This window comes from Homo sapiens, chromosome X, assembly GCF_000001405.40.
Source record: "Homo sapiens chromosome X, GRCh38.p14 Primary Assembly".
In the NCBI taxonomy this organism is placed as follows: domain Eukaryota; kingdom Metazoa; phylum Chordata; class Mammalia; order Primates; family Hominidae; genus Homo; species Homo sapiens.
In genome coordinates, this window is record NC_000023.11 from 24,626,373 (window position 1) to 24,648,848 (window position 22,476).

General features: G+C 42.1%; 1 protein-coding gene and 1 pseudogene across 4 annotated transcripts in view, besides 1 other annotated feature; one reads left to right on the forward strand and one right to left on the reverse strand.

Moving 5' to 3' along the window:
* Positions 1–22,476, reverse strand: part of PCYT1B (phosphate cytidylyltransferase 1B, choline) — a 114,801-nt gene that overhangs the window by 68,286 nt on the left and 24,039 nt on the right. For 2 of the 4 annotated variants that reach the window (NM_001163265.2, NM_004845.5), the window contains exon 1: positions 20,617–20,975. The exons of 1 other annotated variant lie outside the window; for it this stretch is intronic. In NM_001163265.2, the coding sequence (NP_001156737.1) occupies positions 20,617–20,733 (117 nt within the window). In that variant the 5' untranslated portion in view covers positions 20,734–20,975. Of the gene's footprint in view, positions 1–13,969; positions 14,090–20,616; positions 20,976–22,476 lie in introns of those variants that run through there. One more of the 4 variants, XM_017029977.2, reaches the window with a different exon arrangement.
* On the forward strand, positions 5,885–6,229 carry H2BP7 (H2B histone pseudogene 7; annotated as a pseudogene).
* Positions 21,171–21,220: an enhancer, noted in NCBI's record as "active region_29506". NCBI's record gives its function as "activates an Ori minimal core promoter by ATAC-STARR-seq in GM12878 lymphoblastoid cells {active_cell/tissue: GM12878}" and the evidence as "EXISTENCE:reporter gene assay evidence [ECO:0000049][PMID:35858748]".

Consider the following 22,476-nt stretch of genomic DNA (forward strand, 5'->3'; position numbering starts at 1 on the left):
GATACACATTGAATTGTTAATTGGGGTTACCTCTTGGGAAGGAGATAATATTTTGAGAGAAGAGATGAAGAGATTTCATTGTTTATTCCATATATGTCTGTCATTTTGTTTTATTTTTAAAATGAGAATGCATTCATGCAATGTTCATAATGCAAAAATAAATTTAAAGAAATATCTCCTCTCCTTTAAATTCAGAGATGCAGAAAATTTAATCAAGGCTCAGGTCTCCCAAATGTAGCAGGGATGGGGGAGGGAGGTCTATATTAAGAAAAGAGGAGTATTTTGAAAAATAAAAACTATTATCCAGAAATTAACTGTTAAATGATATGATTTGCAGGTATATGGAATATTTAAAACTCATTTGAGCTTTAAAAAATTTTTAAATTACTTTCATGGTATCTACCCGTAATTCATTTTTCTAACATCAGACAAACACTTTTTGAGTCCTTGCTGTGTGCCAGGCACTGTTCTAGCTTCTGAGGATACAACAGGGAACAAAACAAAACAAAAAATTTTGCCCTCATAACACTTAAAAATAATAAACAAGCAACAAAAAAGAACATAAAACATGTAGTATTTTAGTTAAAGGGTGATTAAGTGTTATAGAAAAAAATAAGGCAAGGAAAGGGAATAGGGAGTGTTGGGGGTATCACTGTAAATAGGATAGTCAGAGAAGTTGATGTATGTGTAAATATATAAAGGATCAAGTGAGCCATGTGGAGAAAGAGCATTCCTGGCAGAGAAAACAGTAAGGGCCAAGGCCATGAGGCATGAACATGCCTGGCTTCTTCCAGGAATAACTAGAAGGCCAGTATGCTTGGAGGAAGCGAGCAAAAAAGAAAAGATGTAGCCAGAGGTGAGACCAGAAGAAAGGAGATGAGAGGCACCCAGTCGTGTGAGCTTTTTAGGACACTGTAAAGACTGGCTTTCACTCTAGGGAGATGGGAGCCATCAGAGCGTTTCGTTTTGTTTCGTTTTTGAGAGGGAGTCTCACTCTGTTGCCCAGGGTGGAGTGCAGTGGCGCGATCTCGGCTCACTACAACCTCCGCCTCCTGGGTTCAAGAGATTCTCCTGCCTCAGCCTCCCAACTAGCTGGGACTACAGGCGTGTGCCACCACACCTGCCTAATTTTTGTATTTTAAGTAGAGACAGGGTTTCGCCATGCTGGTCTCGAACGCCTGACCTCAGGTGATCTACCTGCTTCAGCCTTCCAAAGTGCTGGGCATCAGAGCGTTTTGAACAAGGCATGATAATGATCTGACTTAGCTTTAACAAGACCATCTGGCTAATGTGTTGAGAATAAACTGTAAGAGGTCAAAGGTAGAAACAAGAAAACCACTGAGGTGTCTGGTGTAATAATCAGGCAAAAGAAGACAGAGGCAGGGGTCAGGGTGATCGCAGCGGAGGTGGTAAGAAGTGGTCAGATTCTGGATAGATTTTGGATCCATAAAACTTGAAACAGATTGGATGTAGGGTGTGAAAGAATGAGAGGAATCAGGATAATTCCAAAGCTACTGGCCTGAAGAACTGGAAGGATGGCATTGCCATTCCCTAGGAGGGGTAAAACACTGGAAGAGTAGGTCTAGGGGTGGGAGGGACAACAAGGATGGGGAAATTAACAATTCCATTCTCACAGATTTGGTTTGACACACCTATTAGATCTCCAAGTGGAGATGTCAGGTAGACAGTTGGATGTATAAGTCTGGTGTTTGGGAGAAAGGACTAAGCTAGAGATGCAGGTTTAGAAACTGAGAGAGTATGTGATATATAAAGCCATTAGACTAGATTCACTCATTCAGCTCAGGGCATGGATGCAGGTAGAAGAGAGGTCCAGGTCATCAGATGAGGAAACATTGTATATTTAAGCTCCGTCTCTCCCTGCTATTAGGGAAGCTCTAAGAAAGCAAGGACTTGGTCTGTCTACTCATTGCTATATCCCTATTCCCCAGGGCAGTACCTGGCATATAGAAGGTCCTTAAGAATATTTGCTGAATGGGGGAATTTAAAGTCACAGGAGTGAGAATGATAATTGATAAAGACAAATACAGACTTTAAACTCAATAATAAAATAAATATATTTGTCAATCTTTCATAGCTTTTTCTTATCATCATCATAATATATATTATAGAAAATTTGGGAAAGTTAAGAGAGGAAAATAAAAGTCACCAATAATTCTTTCTACTTCCCAGAGACAACTATAGTTAACTCCTTCTATATTTCATTTTAGGCTTTCTGGTATGACATATATACATATTAACAAGTTTGGAATCTTGCCGGATAGACAGTTTTTTTCACTCAATATATCATGATTATCTTATCATGTCACTTAAATAGTTTTCAACCTCACTAATTTTGATAGCTGTAAAACATTTCACTGAAAAAGAACCGTAATTTAAATACTTCTCCATCATTGAATATTAAATTATTTATACTTTACTAATATAAATAACATGCTAAACATAATTCTGAACCTCTGATTATTTCCTTATAACAGATGCCTAGAAACTGAATTACTTAGATCAGGGGTATGAACATTTTAAAGATAAATATTTGAAGAACATTTCAACATGTATTGGTAAATTGCCTCCTACAAAAGCTGTATCATTTATACTCACATTACAACGTATGAAAGCACCTATCTTGCTGCCATCTCACTGGCATTGAGTATTACCTTTGTCAATTTTATAGACCAAAAAATGGTAGCATGCTGTTTCAATTTGCATTATTTTGATTACAAAAAGATTGAACATTTTTCAAATGTTTATTGGCCATTTGTATTTTCTTCAGAGAATAATCTGTCCTTTGCCTATTTTTCTATTGTTGAGAATAAGTATCTTGAAGTTGGTTAAAACTAAAACAAGAGCACAGTTTAAAAATTATCTTAAATATCTTTTAAAAACACATTTTCCAGGCTGGGCTCAGTAGCTCACGCTTGTAATCCCAGCTCGTTGGGAGGCAGAGGCAGGCAGATCGCCTGAGTTCAGGAGTTCGAGAGCAGCCTGGGCAACATGGCGAAACCCTCTCTCTATGAAAAATTAGCTAGGCATGGTGGTGTACGCCTGTAGTCCCAGCTACTCTGGAGGCTGAGGTGGGAGGATTGCTTGGTCCCCGGAGGTCAAGCCTGCAGTAAGCTGTGATTGCATGCCACTGCACTCCAGCCTGGGTGAAAGAGTGAGACCCTGTCTCAAAAAAAAAAAAAAAAAAAAAAAAAAAAAAACAACACGTATTTTCCAACTTTATTTAGAGTTCCCACATAATAAGTTCATTTTTTAAACCAGTAAACCAGTGCCTGAATGCTCACATCTAGGTCAGCTTAGTACATACTGCCCTTTTGGTGATCAGAGATCAGAATTTTTATTATGCCCTGGAGATACAGGCTTCCTTAAAACACTGACCACTTATAAACCAAACTCCATCTCATGCGGCCACTTTCCAACCTCACAGCAGTGAGTGAATATCAAATAGCTAGAAGACTCATAGTACTATAAGTAAAGTCACATTTCATTGATTCTAAAATGTACATTTCTCCCCACATTTTAGCATCTCTGAGAGTAGGAGGGATCTTACAATAGATATTATCTTAAAATCAGTGTTGGCCATTTTTTCACATTGTAACACCATTGAAATGGAAGTGCAACTTACCATGAATAGCCTCTTAGACTCATTAAATGCATAGATGCTATTAACAATAGAAAACAATCTTTACCAAGATATAAAAATTCCACATTCTAAATAATTTTTTCTTAGATAATTGAATTTAAGTTTATAGTGAACATCAATAACAATGTTATATCATATTCATATTCCACCTCCTTCCCCAAAGAACTTGAGGTGATTTTAAAAATAAAATTTGAAAGTTTAAAATAATAGTTGCAAGATCTGGGGTGAGGAGGAGAAATATGTTTTTTGATGTTTTTTGTTTGTTTGTTTGTTTTGTTTTGAGACAGAGTCTCGCTCTGTCACCCAGGCTGGAGTGCAGTGGCGCGATCTCAGCTCACTGCAACCTCCACCCCCTGAGTTCACGCCATTCTCCTGCCTCAGCCTCCCGAGTAGCTGGGACCACAGGTGCCCACCACCACGCCCGGCTAATTTTTTGTATTTTTGCTAGAGATGGGGTTTCACCGTGTCACCCAGGATGGTCTCGATCTCCTGACCTCGTGATCCGCCCGCCTTGGCCTCCCAAAGTGCTGGGATTACAGGCGTGAGCCACCACGCCCAGTCAAAATATGTTTGTTTTCTAAAGGTCAGGGGTGAAATGAGCCCAAAGAAATGCATATCACAGTCCTCTATATTTCAAAAAGGTAAGACTACAAAAATGGCTTTAAGCTCCCAGTAGTCACAGCAAAGAGGAAAACAAAGTTAATGTTGTCCTTAAGCACAAAGCAAAATAGCTATTGAGGAAAAAGCACAGCATTTTCCTGATGCTGAGTTCTGAGAGAAATTCCTCCCGTGGTGCCACCTTAAAGGGTATGATGGGTAATACTGTAGTAACATCGGTACTGATACACTCAACAACAGCCCCCTAGTACAGAAAGTCCTGTTTTTGTTTGTTTGCTTGTTTGTTTTTGAGACGGAGTCTTGCATTGTTGCCCAGGCTGGAGTGCAGTGGCGCGATCTCAGCTCACTGCAAGCTCTGCCTCCTGGGTTCACGCCATTCTCCTGCCTCAGCCTCCTGAGTAGCTGGGATTACAGGTGCCCGCCACCATGCCCGGCTAATTTTTTGTACTTTTAGTAGAGACGGGGTTTCACCATGTTGGCCAGGATGGTCTTGATCTCCTGACCTCGTGATCCGCCTGCCTCGGCCTCCCAAAGTGCTGGGATTACACGCGTGAGCCACCGCGCCTAGCCAGAAAGTCCTGTTTTTTTATGTTTGTCTCCATAGTGCCTTCCATGTAAGGCAGAACCCCAGCACCAAAAAGCGGTTCAGAAAAGCATTTTCTTTAAGGGGCCAAACGAACGTGCACCCTGAAAATACAGTTTTTTTCTCCCTGATGGTTGGATCCAATGGTAAGATTTAGAATGCCTAAACCAATGTTTTCTAATGTGGGATGGGCAAGACAATCCATTAGACAGCAACACTTGTGTTTATACCTCAGATCCTTGAATAATGTCATTTTGTTCGATGACCTTTCATTATAACGTGGATGAGAAAAAAAAAATATTTTGGTTCCAGGTCAGGGCTACTGTCCGTGAAGCATTTTCGCATTCTCCTCATATCTGTGTGGGTTTTCTCTGGGTACTCTGGTTTCCTCCCACATCCCAAAGATGTACACAGCAGGTTAATTAGTGTCTTTAAATTGTCCCAATGTGGGCTGGGCGCAGTGGCTCACGCCTGTAATTCCAGCACTTTGGGAGGCCAAGGCGGGCGGATCACCTGAGGTCAGGAGTTTGAGGCCAGCCTGGCCAACATGGTGAAACCCTGTCTCTACTAAAATACAAAAATTAGCTGGGCACGGTGGCGCATGCCTGTAATCCCAGCTACTCGGGAGGGGGAGGTTGCAGTGAGCCGGGATTGCACCACTGCACTCCAGCCTGGGTGACAGAGCAAGACTGTCTCAAAAAAAAAAAAAATTGTCCCAGTGTTATGAATGTGTTGTGTGTGTGAGTGTGCCCTGCGATGGGATGGTGTCCTGTTCAGGTCTGGTTCCCACCAGGTGCCCTGAGGTGCCAGGATAGGTCCCAGTCACCCATTACCCTGAACTGGAATAAGCTGGCAAATAATTATCTTGTTTTTATTAGTCTTTCTTAAATGTATACATAGCTCACATGTATTTCAATGTTGAATGATACTAGCAGTGTTTTGGTCTTTATTTAGAAGTGTGGTGGTGTTGAAGTGGCTTCTTTCTCAGTATAGTTATTGATTTGTGGTGACATGCCTGAATCAGCCAAGTCTGTTCCTGCTCCAAAGAAGGGTGCCAAGAAGGTGGTGTGACCAAGAGCCAGAAGGATGGCAAGAATCACAAGCATAGCCACAAGGAAAGCTACTCTATCTACATTTACAAGGTATTGAAGCAGGTCCATCTCAACTCTGGCATCTCATCGAAGGCCATGGGCATCATGAACTCATTTGTCAATATCTTCAAGTGCATCATTCCTGATGCATTACAAGTACTCGACGATCACCTCCAGGGAGATCCATACAGCTTGTGCCTGCTGCCTAGGGAGATGGCCAATCACACTGTGTCTCACAACACCAAGGCCCTCACCAAGTACACCAGCTCCAAGTGAACAACTTCTACTTTCAAAAAGCAAAGGCTCTTTTCAGAGCCACTTAAGCCAGGTATAGAAAGACAAATACTGCATGTTCTCACTCATAAGTGGGAGCTAAACAAGTTGATCATATGGAGGTAGAGAGTGGAATGATAGATACCACTATCATTGAGATAGTGGCTGGGAAGTGTGTGTGGGTGAGCGGGGCTAGGGATGAAGAGAGGTTGGTTACTGGGTACAAACATACAGTTAGATAGAAGGAATAAATTCTAATGTTTGATAGCAGAGTAGGATGATTATAGTTAACAACAATGTATTATATATTTCAAAATAGCTTGAAAAGTGGCCGGGCACGGTGGCTCACGCCTGTAATCCCAACACTTTGGGAGGCCAAGGTGGGTGGATCACCTGAGGTCAGGAGTTCGAGACCAGCCTGACCAACATGGTGAAACCGGGTCTCTACTAAAAATACAAAAATGAGCTGGGTGTGGTGGCACGTGCCTGTAATCCCAGCTACTCAGGAGGCTGAGGCAAGAGAATCACTTGAACCTGGGAGGCGGAGTTTGCACTGAGCCAAGATCATACCACTGCACTCCAGCCTGGGCAACAGGGCAAGACTATGTCTCAAAAAAAAAAAAAAAAAAAAAAAAGCTAGAAAACAAGATTTGAAATGTTCTCAATACATAGAAATGATAAATACTCAAGGTGATGGACACCCTAAATACCCTGGCTTGATCATTACACATTCTATGCATGTAACAAAATTTCACATGTACCCCATTAAGTATATACAAATATAATGTAATCAGGCCAGGCACGGTGGCTCACACCTGTAATCCCAGCACTTTGGGAGGCCGAGGAGGGCAGGCCACTTGAGGTCAGGAGTTCTACACCAGCCTGGCCAACATGGTGAACACCGTCTCTACTAAAAAATACAAAAATTAGCCGGGCGTCGTTACATGCGCCTGTAATCCCAGCTACTCCGGAGGCTGAGGTGAGAGAATCACTTGAACCTAGGAGATGGAGGTTGCAGTGAGCCGAGATCACACCATTGCACTCCAGCCTGGGCAACAGAGCGAGACTCCGTCTCAGTATATATATCAATAAAAAATTTTAAAAAGAAGTTTGGTGATGTTGTTGTGGCCAGAAATACGCCATACGAACTTAACTCTTGTTTACATAAATTAGCCTATGTTAAAACTGGTTTCATTCCACATCATTTTGCTTAAAGTTACAGTTCCCAAGAACCTCTTGATAATGTTATGTGAGGACTTACTGTATTTATTTTTCATGTCAAAAAATAAGAAAAAAAGCTTTACAAAAACCAAGAAAAATATCTATTTTTGTTTGCTTGTTTTGAGACAGGATCTCACTCTGTCACCCAAGTTGAAGTGCGGTGGCACCATCACCACTCACTGCGCCCTCCAACTCCTAAGTACAAGCGATCCTCTTGCGTCAGCCTCCTAGGACTACAGGCACATACCACCATGCTCATCTAATTAAAAAAAAAAATTTTGTAGAGATAGTGTCTTACTATGTTGCCCAGGATGGTCTGGAACTCCTAGGCTCAAGTGATCTTTCCACCTCAGTGTCCCGAAGTGTTGGAATTACAGGCATGAGCCATGACGCCTGGCCTTCTAATTCTGATATATGGGTTTACACTGGTGCCCCATTTCTGTCCACATCAAATACATGAGGTATCCTAAAGGGAATGTGAAAGTTGGGTGGCCTGCATCGCCTGACATTTTTTCATTTGCTTTCAGCTTATTGCAATATACTGCAGTTCACCTGAGCCTAGATAAAGGTATTTGTGGATTATATTATCTAGTTTTAACTAAACCAATGCACATAAATCAGCAGGTGGCTTAAAACATTTCCTGCAGGCCGTGCGCGGTGGCTCACGCCTATAATCCCAGCACTTTGAGAGGCTGAGGCAGGCGGATCACGAGGTCAGGAGTTCAAGACCAGCCTGACCAACATGGTGAAACCCCGTCTCTACTAAAAATACAAAAATTAGCCAGGCATGATGGTGCATGCCTGTAGTCCCAGCTACTTGGGAGGCTGAGGCAAGAGAATCGCTTGTACCTGGGAGGCAGAGGTTGTACTGAGCCAAGATCACGCCACCGCACTCCAGGCTGGGGACAGAGTGAGACTCCATCTCAAAAACAAACAAACAACAACAACAACAACAAAAACATTTCCTGCAATGAAATAGGAAAGCAAAGATAATGCAAACACAAGTGAACAACAAGAAAATGGCAGAGCTGACCCTTCTACTCCCTGTAAAAGTTCTGCAGCCACCACATTATCAGGTACCAACCACGACAACCCAATCTGATCTGACAAGAAGATAGCTGAATTGAAAATTATCTCACAGAAGACCATTAGAAATATCTGCTACCAATAACATTAAATATCACCTTGAGATATTAGCTAATGATGGTATGAAGTTATTGTAATTAACATATTTTAAAATGAAGCATCCAGAACATGAAGATAAACCTCTATGATTTTTCCATGTTTAATGTTTCAATGTTGTGAGTCATGTGATACTCAATCCAGCATGTCACAAAATACTGTTACATGTAACGATAAATGTTTAGAAGCCTTTTTGAGTTTCCATAACTCAATAGAGAAAAAACAAAAGTCTCATACCATTGCAAAATCATCTATTCTTCATGCTACAGTAAAACTAGCTGCTCTAATGTGTAGAAAAAAAAACTGATGTCAAACTAAAATGCATTCCTTTGTCAGCAAATATATTTAGAAGACATATAGAAAACATTGTTGAAGATTGAAAGAAACAAGCATTAGAACAAATTATGCAGTGTGGGAGGTTTGCAATATACTTGGATAGAAGTACAGATATTTCTAACATGTCTCAGCTTGAGGTATTTGCTAGATTCTATTTCAATAATAAAACCTCTTTTTTTCTGAGTCACTAAAGGAAAGATGTTCCAAAGATGATATTTTCTGCAAAGTGGATGATTTCTTTAACAGAAACCATATTTTACAAGAAAACTGTAACTACCAGTAAGGTGATTGCTTTACCCTTGGACCTCTGATCTCCCACCTATTTGAGAAGTACTCTCTGTCTTCTTTTCCTGACTCTTTGTCTATTGGATCTCTAAATGTTGTCACTCAGGGTTCCATCCTGGAAGACTGTGGGGTAAAGTAGATTAATTTAACCAGATTTCCTGTAGCAATAGGCAGATAAAAGGAGGATTCTAAAAGCTTTAATTACAGCTCTTCTATTTTTCCCCTTCCCAAACCCTGATGCAAAGGCTCTGGGTCAGCTATTTTCTAGAATTCACCCTGTAGCAGGGTTATTCTGAGGTACTCTTGCTACCTAACCAATGCCATCCATTTCCTCAGCCCACAACCTGTCTGACTGTGAGGCCAGGCATAGTACACAATTGGGGGCCACGGATTTTAATTCACAGATTACCTGACTAGGGCTGGACTGGTCCTAGACATAAGGTGTTTCGTTCAAGTGCTCACTAGACTCTCTTTGGGGCTGGATATACTGGCCCCTGGAAGGGCTGAGCACTTTGAAGCTCTGTTAGCAGCCAAGAGCTATAATTGTAAGTAGGATGTGATGCCTTTCCTTAGAGTTTATTAGATCACCAGAATTATTTGGAAATGGGAAATACAATGTAGAGTGTTCCCTTTCTTCATTATTGTGAATAATAATATCTTTAAACTTTGCACTAAAGAATAATAGACTTATAGAGAAGTACACATATCAGCCAGGAACAGTGGCTCATGCCTCTAATCCCAGCACTTTGGGAGGCCGAGGCAGGTGGATCACCTGAGGTCAGGAGTTCAAGACCAGGCTGGCCAACATGGTGAAACCTGGTCTCTACTAAAAATACAAAAATTAGCTGGGTGTGGTGGCACATGCCTGTAATCCCAGCTACTCAAGAGGCTGAGGCAGAAGAACCGCTTGTAACTGGGAGGCGGAGGTTGCAGTGAGCCAAGATTGCACGATTGCACTCCAGCCTGGGTGAGAGTGAGACTCTGTCTCAAAGAAAAGAAAAGTACACATATCCTAAGTGCAGCTCAATGGACTTTCACAAGCTAAGTACACACAGCCACATATCACGTAACCTAACACTTCCAGCGTCCATCCCATGCTCCTACCACTACACCGATTTCTAACATCAAAGATGAGCTTTGCCTATTTTATTTTATATTTTATAGAAATGAAATCATGTGGCGCATATTAGTTTGTATCTGGCTTCTTTCATTCAATGTTACATTTGTGAGATTCATCCATATTCCTGCAGGTGGTTGTAGATTCTTCAATCTCACTGCTACCCAGCATTAAATTGTGTGAGTGTACTACAATTTTTTTAATCCATTCTGCTTCTGCTGGGCATTTGGGTAGTTTCCAGTTTGGGGTTATTATGAATAACACTGCTAAGAACATCCTAATACTAGTTTTTTTGGTGGCCATGTGTACAAATTTCTTAGGAATGCAACTGCTGGGTCAAAATATTTACATTGAATTTCTAGTTTTACTACAAAGAACACAGATATCTGATTTATTTCTACTCCTGTTCCCAAACACAGCAGATATGACTGGGAGGGCTAAATAAAGCATCTCTAAAAGTGCATCTAGGCACATCTTGCTTCCGAATCACCTGGGAGCTTGAGCAGGCAATTCTCTGCTCACTGAAGTTTGTGAACTATGTGTCATGGAAATAGGGGCTTTAGAAGTCAGACAAACCTAATTTCAACTCCCAGCTTAATCAGTTAATATTTGATCTTTGGGGCCGGGCACGGTGGCTCACGCCTGTAATCCTAGCACTTTGGGAGGCCGAGGCGGGAGGGTCACTTGAGGTCAGGACTTCAAGACCATCCTGGCCAACATGGTGAAACCCCATCTCTACTAAAAAAAAAAAAATATATATATATATATATATAAATTAGCTGAGCGTGGTGGCGTGCACCTGTAATCCCAGCTACTGGGGAGGCTGAGGCAGAAGAATCACTTGAACCTGGGAGGCGGAGGTTGCAGTGAGCTGAGATCATGCCACTGCACCCAGCCTGGGTGACAGAGCAAGACTTCATCTCAAAAATATACATATGTATCTTTTTGGATCTTTGGGAAATTACTTGATTATTTATTTCCTTACTTATAACATGAGGAATAGTAATGCTTATTTCATGGGTCTGCAGCCTGATTAAATGAGATAATACATATAGAGCATTCAACACAGTGCCCAATACAGTGTGCACTGTGAATGGTTGTTCAATTCCCCGACTTGCCCATGGAGAAAAAGGAGTGAGACCACTAGCCTTGCATCCCATATAGAACAATTACCTTATAACTAAACAATTTGGAGGTACAATAGAATTTATTATTATGTGACTGTGCCTACAGTCAATATTAGGCACACCAGAGATGAAACACAGAAGCCTGCATGTACCAGGAATGGGCTTTCAACATCATTTGGTTGGCAATAGGCTGTACACATCATTCATGATGTTTCTATTAACCTATTACCGTTGTTATTTTTCTTAAATGACAGTTTAAATAACCCTCAGCATCCTGATGTCAGGTTCAGCATGCATGAATTACCGAGTAGAAAACAAAAACACCAAGTCAAAGATTTTGGCGGGAGGGAGGAGATTATATGAAAATGAATTCTGCTCAATAGGCTAGCCCCGTGTGGCCCTGCACACTATTACACAGGCGCACACTACCAGGGCTCACTGCTTTATTTTCTAATCACTGTGTTTTCAAGTCTGCCTTCAAGATTGTTGAGTGCTAAACTGTCTCTTTATCCCCAAGCAAGGTCAGCTTCCCAGCCTCCCATACAACCCAGTTCATGCTGGGATAAAGAGGAAGGTAGGAATGTTAAAACAATAATGCTATGGTCTGAGGCCAGCAACGGGTAATCAGATCCTAGCAAGGTAGAGGCTGTTACCTGGGAGATTATTGGAAGAAAATAGGCCTAGCTTGCAATGACTTAGTTTGTTTCTACCTTCCTTGCTTTTTTTTCCTTTTCATTCTTCCCCCCAGTGATCTGATGGGATAATTATTTTCCTGCATTTATTTCCCTAACAGTCACTGAGAAGCTTTGTGTGGGGCACCAGCTAAAGATGTAAGAGTTTTGGGACTACAGCCTGACCCATTGCTGGACTTTAACCCCAAGTAGCAAGCTTAGATGGACAACATTGATTAAGAAAGGCCTCTATAGTTCAAGCCCATACTGCCATGCCTCAAAGAAGGCCCAATGTTTCAAACTTCTGTAGTATGAAATAGATAAATTAGGAGGCTACTGTTCACATTAAGAAGAGATTCAACACAGGTTTCCCGAAACAATGAATAGAACATTCCATATATGATTTGGAATACATTCAACCTGTCTGAGAAAGCATCTGAAGAATAAAACAGAAGACAGCAGAAGTGGTTTGTACAACATCAATGTAAAACTTCAAAGTGCTTGTGAACATTTGTTATTCATATTTAGCCAGTGTGTCTTACCATAAGATCATGCAACCTGTTTTTACCCCAAATGGATAAAACCAACAGGGGGTGAGGAATGGGGTAGCCCAGACTTTTGATAGGAGCATGAGCTCAAACAGAACATACTGCAGTAGACCAAGTTCCAAGGCAATGAAAGCTAGAATCACACTCTAAGGATCTATCCAATCCATTGTCGGGGACAGAATGGAATCCAGAGAGGAAAGTGATTTGCTTAAGTGCACACAATAATTCAATGGCAAAACTGACACTGGAACAAGACTATGGGCTCCAGCAAGTCCAGACCAAGCTTTAGCACATTTGTCTTGACAGCCCCCTGTCCTTTCACCGTGGGCTAGTTCAGCTCTCCCTGGCCAGATCTAGACTTGGCTTGATGGGCATTGGTGTGGAGTCCCAGAGGCCACAACGAAGCAGATCCATTTGCTCTCATCACTGCATCTCATCAGGAACCATCTCAGCCTTTCCACTTCTCCCTACCCACAGCCTGGAGGCCTCAGGAGAGGACATATCCTGGGGCTGGACTCAACTACCCAGGATATACCAGAATTATAGTTCCGTACTAGCCAGAAATAAGCCACCATGATTTTGCTTCCACCTTCACAGATGAAAAACAGGCTATCAGATAGAGAGGCCTTCAACTTTCAGTACCCTTCCTCTTATAACTTGTTCTTGCCCAAACCATCCTTGCCAGCTTCCTTGCCACTACAGTGGGAGAGGTGTCTTTTTTTCTCCCTGAAGCCAATCCTTCCACTTGTGCACTGGAGCCCAACCTGTCCAGCCTAAGAGACATTCCCTTCATCAGTTGTCCCCATCACCATCGCCCCTTCCCTCTCCCACTGGCTCTTTCCCATTTATATTTAGGCACAAGTTGCTATCATCTTAAAAGAATGAGCCAACCAAAAGATCTGACATCTTGGATGGATGAAAGGAATGAGAAATAAAAGGAAAAAAAGATGAAGGGAGGGAAGATGAAAGGAACGAAAGAAGGAAGGGGAAAAGCTAGTCTCTAGTAACCCTAAGCCCTGATTTGTCCACCTCTGGGTACTGTACATTCTATCTGCTTCCTCTCTCAGTCAAGCTTCCACTTCCCTACCACCTATAGGCTCCTCAATCTACTGCCATCCAGCCTCCGCTCCCACCACTTCACTGAAACATCACCACTGACCTCTTCTTTCTAAATCCAAAGGAAACTTTTCCTCCTTAACTCATTTGATCTCTCTACTGCATTTGATTCTATTGGACATTCCCTCCATGAAACTTACCCTGCCCTTGGTCCCTTGATCTCCCAGTTATTTGAGAAATACTTCTCTGTCTTCTTTTCATGATCCTTCTTCTATTGGCCCTTTAAGTAGTCTTTCTTAGGGTTCCAACCTGGGAAGATTCTGGGATAAAGTAGATTAGCTTAACCAGATTTCATGTAGAGACAGATGAATAGAAGGAGGAGTCTAATAGCTTTAATTACAGCTCCTCTATTTTCCCCCTCTAAGAACCTGATAGGATGGCTCAGGGTCAGTTACTTTCTAGAATTAGCCCTGTAGTGGGATTATCCTGAGGCACTCTTCCTAGGTAACCATCTCCATCCACTTCCTTCTCAGTCCAGAAACTATCTCAATTTCACTCTCATCCATTTCACTGCCTCAATTTCACTTCCATCTCCTCCATGCTATCTCCCAGATCTATATCTCCAGCTCAGAACTCTCTCCTGAGTTCCCCAACCAAACATGAACTAGACACCTCCAAGTGGAAGTCCCCATGGCACCTCAGACATAACTCTCACAAACTCTACTTCCCTGGCACACCCATCTCAGTGATGGCACTCACTAGTTGGAGCCAGAAAACAAACTGTGCCTTCCTTGATCTTTTTGTTTTTTTGAGATGGAGTCTCGCTCTGTCACTCAGGCTGGAGTGCAGAGGGATGATCTCGGCTCACTGCAACCTCCGTCTCCCGGGTTCAAGCGATTCTCCTGCCTCAGCCTCCCAAGTAGCTGGGATTACAGGAGCACACTACCATACCCGGCTAATTTTTGTATTTTTAGTAGAGATGGGTTTTCACCAGGTTGGCCAGGCTGGTCTTGAACTCCTGACCTCAAGTGGTCCACCTGCCTCACCTCCCAAAGTGCTGGGATCACAGGCATAAGCCACTGCGCCTGGCCCCTTGATCTTTCACTGAACCTGCCCCATGCTCAGACTTAGTTATCAAATCTTGGGGCATTTATCTCTTTAGTGTTTCCCATATCCATCTAGTTCTCTCCTTTCCCACTGTCCTTCTATAATTTCAAACTTATTAACTCTCATCTAGATTACTGCAACAGTCTCTTAACTGAAATAGAATAAGATAGGATAGCATAGAAAGTATAAGAGTGCAAAACATGAAGTAAGGAAAAGTGATGTTTGGTTTTAGTTATGACTACATATATGTATACGTGAACTGTGCAACATGAAAAGTATTTATCATTGTAGGTCCTCAGAACTGATCCTAACAGGGCTGGACAAGTGTCTAAGCTCCCTGTAAAGCCACATGTAGTCACTGAGCACTTGAAATTAGCTAGTCCGAATTGAGATGTATTGCAAGCACAATATACACATTGGATTTCAGACTTAGTATGAAGAAAATAATATAAGATCTCATTAATAATTTTTATATTGCATGCTGACATAATATTTTGGATACAAAATTAATTTCACCTTTTTTAACCTTTAAAACTGTGGCCACTTGAAAATTTTCAATTACACATGTGGCTCATGCTGTATTTCTACTGGGCAGAGCTGTTCTAGAGTTCTAGGCCAGTATGTGACCCACAATGGGGGCTTAAGATCCACTCAAAAATGGATTGATCCTTTCCATGTCCCAAAATATGTATTGGGGTGAGCAAGTAAAACCTTTTCTTCAAATGCAGGGACTTTTCTTAACTTGGGGATTGGGTTAACAGAGTCCTCCCTGCTGGGAAGTACTTCCCCTCAATGGATAAAAAATAGCTTTTAAGAAAGTCTAATATGTTAAAGTCAAACTTACAAAAAAGCTCTCTTAAGGGATTTCAGCATCCTGGCATGCTTCCACAAACCAAACTACTACCTTCTATTAAACGGAAATGCCCCTTTAGGGGCAAGGGGTTTGGATTCACTTCTTTTATTTCTCTCCACAGCACCTGGTGCATTGCTGTGTCTGGAAGTTGTTAACCACCTGGCTGACTGTGGATCCCATGGGTAAGGGGATGGTAGGGGTTGGTAAGGATTGGTAAGAGACTCAGTTTTCTCTCAGTTATCTTCCAAAACTCTGCATTGCTAAATACTTTAAATCTTCCTCACTGCCTGATTGAGGACATATACATGCACTCTTTTGATTTCTATATGCTAAATCATCAAAATAAAACACAGAAGCTACCTATTATATTTGATTTAGGTTTATTTCTTCCATAAGGGTTTAGCATTAGGCAAATTGGGTTGGAGGGGTAGTGAGAGAACAAACCTAAAAGAATGGAAGAAACTAATTGATTGATTCCATGCTAAATACACCTGACTAGTATCAATTTGCAAGACATGGATGTTGCATTTGGATAGAGACCAGCAGGAAGATACCTAATAATAACCTTAGGCAGAATTCCAGTTGACCACAGTAAATACCCAAGGAAGCTCACGTTTGTTTATTTTCGCCAATATTGCGCATTAAGAGTGTTTCACTTTTAAAATGTATGCTGTTCTGGGTGGCTAAGTAGATGGCAATATTAGCAAAGGAAGCCATTGATGTCTCTGGAAATCTGGTCATCTTTTTGAATACTAGCAGATGAGCATGCTACCTCCAAACTGACATAATGCACCTTCTGCAAGACAGCAGTCTCTTGGCACTGCTCCACTTTGAAGTAAAACCCGAAATGAACTCCTCCTGCTAATGTGGCATGTTGAACCAACCCTTTTTTATTTCCAAGGCCTTCTCAGTTGATCCATAGTATATCCATCTTCATGGAAGTGACTATTGCAGTCTAGAATTACAATTCCTTCTGACAACAGAATGCACCCCTAGAAGAACTTGTCCAAGGTCATTAACCAAATTCTCAAGCAGACAACTTTCAGGGTGGCTGGGCCTTGTTAGAAAGGGCTTCTGGGACACCTGCTGAGCCCAGAGGATCTTTCTAGGCATAATCTGAGGGCTGGGAAGATATGAGGACACAGTCCTTGCTCAGAGGAGTCCTTGTATCTCAGGAGTTAGATTTCCAAGAAGGGCTATTACATCATATCACCCAAGGCCACTCAGTTTCTCATCTTGACAGTCAAGCTGATGAGTCACCTTGCATCATGTTTAATCAGGAAAATAGTAAAGAACTGAAAACAAGTCAAGAATCAAGAGTAAACATTGTAACAATGTAAAGAGTTCTCAGAAGCATCTCAAATCAGAGCACCATGGTAAAATGGTAAGAGTAGTAAGATTATATTCCTAAAATATAGGCTCTATCATAAAACCTAGGTAATGCTTTTGTTATTTCTTTTCTAATTTCTTTATCAGAGTTACTGCATTCTATTTAATCGTCTCCTTTCTTATATTTTCCTCTAATGAAGAATAAGGCAGGTAGAGAAACTACAAGTTTTCCTGGCAGAAGAACTTCCCCTTGAAATATAATTCAATCATATCTGCAATATTATTATCAATTTGTTACTTACAGGGATCTAAAATATAGACTGCTTTAAAGTCTATTTATTCACTCACGTATGCCAGCTCCCCACTTCATTTCAGCAACTAGGAGAAGGAGCCTGCCCTCTGAAGGAGAATCCAAGTGTGGAGCTTCAATCCTAAACAGGCCCCCTGCAAATATTTCATACACTTTCCATAGTTAGTTAAGCAACTCAGTAGCCACACTCTGTTGATGGCTGTGGTGTCAGTGACCCACATACAATTTGGAGCTATATGCCTGGGTGCTGGGAGAAATGCAGAATTTATACAATTTGAAATATGAAGACACTAGCAAAGCTACAAGATCAACAGAAACTACTAAAAACCAGAGAAAGAAATGCTAATTTCATGTTTTCACTTGCTGCTCACTCTCTTCATCAACAAACTTTTTTATTAAGTAGTTAGCATGTGCCTTAGTTATTAAAGTAAGATCATTAGCAAAGGAAAGTTAGGCTATAAAGTATAAATCTAAATTTAGAATATAACCCTACAGTGATCAAAGTTAGCTAATAAGAGAGAAGGCAATTTGAAAATTTTAGTAGTGTTTTATAAATTGGTTGCAAGCCCCTGTTTAAACAGAGTCAAATTTCAGTAGCCCATGACAATGATGAACAACGTGGAAAATTTTGTATCATAAGTAAATCAAAGCAGGTGCTTCAACAGTTCAACTTATGTACATCTGTATCATACCTATGCATGTGCATGATACACACACACACACACACACACACACACACACACACACACGAAACCAGAACTGCCAAAAAGATGGGAAGGGAATGTATCTCACTTATGAGTATGTTATAGAAGAAAGATCTTCCACTTTTCCGGTGTAGAGCTCTGGGTTCAAATCCCAGCTCTGCCCCCTTCAAAGCAGTGTGACCCTTGGGCAAGTCACTTACCCTCTCTGAACCTCAGTTTCCTTATTTCTACAATGGGTGGGAGGTGAGGGTGTAGAGCACATTGCCAGCTTTGCGTGGTTCTTGTGAGTTACCACCTGGAATAAGCTGTCACGAGTGAAAGTGGAAAGTAACTTGGCCAGGTGCAGTGGGTCACACCTGTAATCCCAATACTTTGGAGGCCAAGGTGGGCGGATCACCTGAGGGCAGGAGTTCGAGACCAGCCTGGCCAACATGGCAAAACCCCGTCTCTACCAAAAATACAAAAAAATATTAGCCAGGCATGGTGCTGCCCACCTGTAATCCCAGCTACTCAGGAGGCTGAGGCAGGAGAATCGCTTGAACCTGGGAGGTGGAGGTTGTGGTGAGCCAAGATCAGGCCACTGCACTCTAGCCTGGAGGACATAGTGAGACTCCATCTTAAAAAAACAAGAAAGTAACTTGAACTTTCTTCTTTCCCTTAATTTTCTCTGCCCATCTCCCTCAGGCAGAAGCAATCAAGAAGCAGAATAGCTAAGAGGTAAAAATGGAAGGAAAAATAGTAGGCAAAAGAGACTGAAATGATGCACAAACTGGAGCTGGATGCCGCCTTTCTCTCCTCTGCCCTTTACCTCTGTCAGGAAGGTATGTGATGCAAATTTGAAGATTGTGGTTACTTTAAAAAATATATTTTTGGGTAAGCATGGGCACAAATATATATACATATGTGTGTATATATGTATATATGTGTGTATATACATATATATATATACACACATATATATATTGGTCCAGTGCTGTGGCACAAGCCTGTAATCCCAGCTACTTGGGAGGCTGAGGCAGGAGGATCACTTGAGTCCAGGAGTTCAAGTTTGAGGCCAGCCTGGAAAACAGAGTGAGTCTCTCTCTCTATTTATGTGTATATATGTATATGTGCATATGATAATCTTGTAATATGCTTTTAGTGGTCATTTTCCTTTATGCTAAACCATAAGTTGTTTAGTGACTCAAAGGAATCCCTTAGTAACAAACTTATTGGGATGGTTTGTATCTCATGAGAACATAGACACTGCACTGTGTATGTCATTCAGTAAGTGGCTAAAGTGCTAGGGCACAGTTACTATTAAACTGCCCTAAGAGAAAACATTTTTAAAAATAGAAGCATAGGGGAAAAAAGCCCACAGGGCTCTAATATAACTTCCTCTGTATTTGTGCTTTTTAGGAAGTTGTTCTAAGCCTCCTTTGAACCCTTATTAACTCTTATTAAGAAATAACAGTTTTATGATGGGTTGGCCTTCTCATCTGCGAGCCCTAATTTTGCAGGTTCACAGAAAATGCTACATCACAAAATCCTTTTTTAAAAAACTCTTCCCAGGGTCAAACTCCACAGCCAATCAAAATATTCCACCTTTTAACTTGAGGGAAATCGCTAAAGGAAAGGATAGCTTTAACTAGTGTGTCTTTTGGATTGGGGGACTCAAAGAGAGGTCTCCCCAAGTTCCACAAGACTTCGGACCACAGAAAACCCACCACCCATGCGTGTTTTTGATTCCTTGAGGACACATGCTGAGGTGGTTGGGAACGAAGTTTCACATCTACCTAAAAGATCATGACCAGGGATAGAGAGACGACCAAATTTGGGAGAGCAGTTACGGTGCAGTTACGGAGGCGGAAGGACGCTCTCAGTACCCCGTTTCCACACTTTCATTCTTAAAGGCATGCAACCCCTTTCTAAATAAATGTAGCTCCCCAGGTTTCCACTACCTGAAGAGAAACCCTCACAGCACACTCTGGAAATGTTTTACAATTCGTTTTAAATGCGTATTATTTCTAACTAAATCATTGAGGGACTCCTATGTATTTATTTATTTATTTATTTTGAACATTTTCAAACGGATGGGGAAGTTTTGCTTCCATGTTTCCATTTTTTTCCCCCCAAATTGGCATTAGGCACCAAAATCAGTTGAGGAACGAAGCATTCCTTAGCTAGAATTTAAAACTTAACAAGGGACTCTTCCCGAGCTTGGTAAAGAGAATACCATTTTAAAATTGCACTGTAGGATTTTTTTACCTTCAGACAAGAACACACCTAAAAGGAAAAAGGCCCTCCCCTCCTCCCGAAGCACAAAAACACAGCATATCCCAAGCAGCCCGTTTCCTACCCAGCCAATACAATAACGCTTTGTAAACTGAGAGCAGCGCCCGGTATAGAAGCTAAGTATAAACAGCTGAGAAGGATTAGGCGGTAGCGCTCTTCTCATTTACATGAAAATCCTCTAAGCATCGTTTTCCTCGCTGGCTGCGGGCGCATAAGGAACTCTTTTATGCCATAGCCACGCATACATTTCCATCCTTTGTCTTTACTTACCAGTCGAGGCTGTGGGCATGTGTGCTCTATTTCCTCCATGGTTTCTGAGGGAGGCTCATTGGAAAGGGATTTTGGGATACCTGTTTCTGACTCAGCATCAGTGGTAACTACTGGCATGGCCAGTGAATGCTCCCTCTAGCTCTACACCCTCAGAGAGTCTCCTCCCAGGCAGAGAATGTTTTCTTTGTCACGTATTTTTCTCCCCTCTACCCTCCACCCATCCCCCCGCTTCTTCTCCCCTTCTTTCTGTCTTCCCTAGGGGAAGTAAAGAGGTTACCCCCCGCCCCTCTCTCTCTCTCTCTCTCCCAGAAGCCAAGAGGCAAGGCCTCAGTTTATCACTATAACAACCAGACGACACTGAAGCGGCTGGTGCGGGATACAGTATCTCATTTGCATAGAGCGCGCTGGTTGGCTACTGTCATCATAGTACCACTCCGCCGGGAAGCGGCCGGGCCCCATTGGCTAGCCCTCCGTACCCACGGGCCCGAACTTGCTGCTTTTGTTTCTTCTGTTTAATTCAGTTGCAAAGGTCTCCGTCCTCTCTGGGCACGGGACCCGGGCTGCGCCACCCAGATAACATAAAACCGCTTCCTGAGGGGCCTAGGACGCCTTGAGAAACAACATAGCAGACCTCCACTAATAAAGGACCATGTCCCTGGGATGAGCTAGTGCATGATGTGCTGTAGTCAGGATATTTGCCAAATAGGAGTCACCCTGAAGACAAAGCCACTTTTGAGCCCAAATTCATTGTGCTAATTGCCAGTGGAGGGCCCCTCCGGGCATTCACTATGGGCACCTGAGTGTTCGACCCCTGGACTTCATGCAACGTGAACCCTGGCAGATCCCCTCGTGGCCTGGTGTAGCCCTGGAGCCCTCCCCTGGGGCTGCCCTAGGGGGAACTTTGAAGGAGGTAGATTGTCTTTAACAGCCTGCCTCCTACTCCTGGCTGCCCTTTCGCAGTTGCTTCCTCTGTCAGCCACTCTTCCCCTTCCCCAGCTATTCAAAGTTTCCTCAAGAAGTCTTGCTGTTGTGTGCCTTTCAATACACTGTTCCATGCACTGCTCTATTTTCTCTTGGTTCCTACTTTACCAGTCGTGGGTCCCATTTCCGAAGTACCCTGCTCTCAGCCAAATGCTCATGGCAATCAGAGATGGAATGTTAACGATCAGGTGCTTTAATGTCTACATTATCTAGGGACATTCACATTTTAAGAGGAGCATTCTGAAGACACACATCCAAAGAACTTACCAAGGTATTCATTGTGAATTGTCACTTTTAATATTAATAAAAAATCATGATGATCCCTGGCATTTATTAAGCACAAGCACGGTGCTAAGTACTTTACCTAGTTCTTGTTTAATCTTTGTGAGAACCCAAAGAGGTAGATCCTATTGTTATCCTCATTTTACAGGTATTCACATTCACAAAATTCTAAAATAATGCAGCTGGGATTTGAAGGAATTTTTTTTTTTTTTTTTTTTTTTTTTGCGAAGGGCGAGGTGGTGGGGGCGGGCGCGTAGGGACCAGGGATGCAGCAGGTGTAGTAAGAAAAGGATCTAGGCAGGAGTCCTCTTAGGACAAGTCCCTGGGCTTCTACATCTTTCATTTTTATCTACAGTAGTGGTTTTCATTCAAGTGTGGTCTGGGACCAGCAGCACCAACATCAGCATCACCAGGGAACTTGTTAGAAATGCGAATTATTGGCCCCCTGCCAGACCCCGGACCTGATTCAGTAAGTCTGGGGTGGGGTCAGAATTTGCTTTTCTAGAGAGTTTCTGGGTGTTGTTAATGCTGCAGGTCTGGGAACTATACTTTGAGAATCAGTAGCCCAAAGGATGGGATAAAAATACCGGGCTTGCC